At 53.9% G+C, this 1,114-nt stretch overlaps 1 annotated feature.

Annotated features, from left to right (window-relative positions):
- Positions 759-808: an enhancer, noted in NCBI's record as "active region_1888". NCBI's record gives its function as "activates an Ori minimal core promoter by ATAC-STARR-seq in GM12878 lymphoblastoid cells {active_cell/tissue: GM12878}" and the evidence as "EXISTENCE:reporter gene assay evidence [ECO:0000049][PMID:35858748]".

Raw genomic sequence — 1,114 nt, 5'->3', positions numbered from 1 at the left:
TAAACTACCCAGTCTCAGGTAGTTCTTTATAGCAGTTAGAGAACAGCCTATATACAATGTCTTTCAGCAGGTGGCCTGAGGGCAATGGCCCCTGAGATCCCTCTTAGGAGCAGAGGCAGAGAAAGCAGAGGGTCAGGTGGAGGAGGCTGAGAGAGGAAGGGTCCCTTCCTCCCTCAAGGGCTGAGGAAGTGGCCACAGGGACACCCAGAGTCTTCTCTCTGAAGAAGCCTGAAACAGGCTCACTGGCTGTCAGTGCCTGTCAGACCACAGGATAGGACAGGACAGGATGGGGAGACAGAGCAGAGACCTTGGTAGAGCCACGGGAGTCACCAACTCCCAGAGCCTCACTGCTGAGGGGGACTGGGGTGATTCTGCCCAAGCTCCTGCTTTAACAGAGGAGGGACTCTCTAGGGGGTAGACTTGTCCTGGGTCACAGAGGGCAGAGCCAGACCTGGAGCCTACTTTACCCCCCAGCCCAAGGCCTCCCCTGCAGGATACTGCCCGTGAGCTCCTCCACCTTCACCTGCCCTCCCTAGACTAGCTCAGCTGCACTGTCGTCTGAGCCCCGCAGGACTGAGAAGCTGCCGCGGCCTCCACCTCAATTGCCCTCTTCTGAAAAGGGGAAGCAGGTACTTTCAGTGGCAGTGCAGAGCAGGGACTTCTGGCTAACAGAGGGTTAAACTGCCAGCCTGGACAAGCTCACTTCCTGGATGAGGGAACCAGGGAGAAAGGAGGCTCCGCCCTCAGGCTGTTAGGAAGGATCTGCCCCAGAAGTTGGATGGTGAGCACAGCCAGGAGGAAGATGAGGGAAGACTCAGAGAGGGAAGGAAGGCAGCAGGAGTTCTTGGATCTACAGAGATGCTAATCCTGAAGAAGAGAGAACAAGACAGGGAGTGGTTGGTCATTTACAAGGTGGAGCTAAACATTCATTTAAATTGTATACAATTTCAAGCTCTGTAAACAACATAAAAGATTGCTCATTTGTCTGACATAGCCCCCATCAGCACACTCACAAACCAACCATTCATGTTTGATGTCCAAACCTCACTTCTTGGTGCCATCTCCATTGTCTCGTGTCTGCGTCTGGAGCCCCTAATGCAGAGACCCTTTCTCT

Source organism: Homo sapiens, chromosome 1, assembly GCF_000001405.40.
Source record: "Homo sapiens chromosome 1, GRCh38.p14 Primary Assembly".
In the NCBI taxonomy this organism is placed as follows: Eukaryota; Metazoa; Chordata; class Mammalia; order Primates; family Hominidae; genus Homo; species Homo sapiens.
Note: the sequence above shows the minus strand (reverse complement) of the source record. Positions and strands in the feature narration are given on the sequence as shown.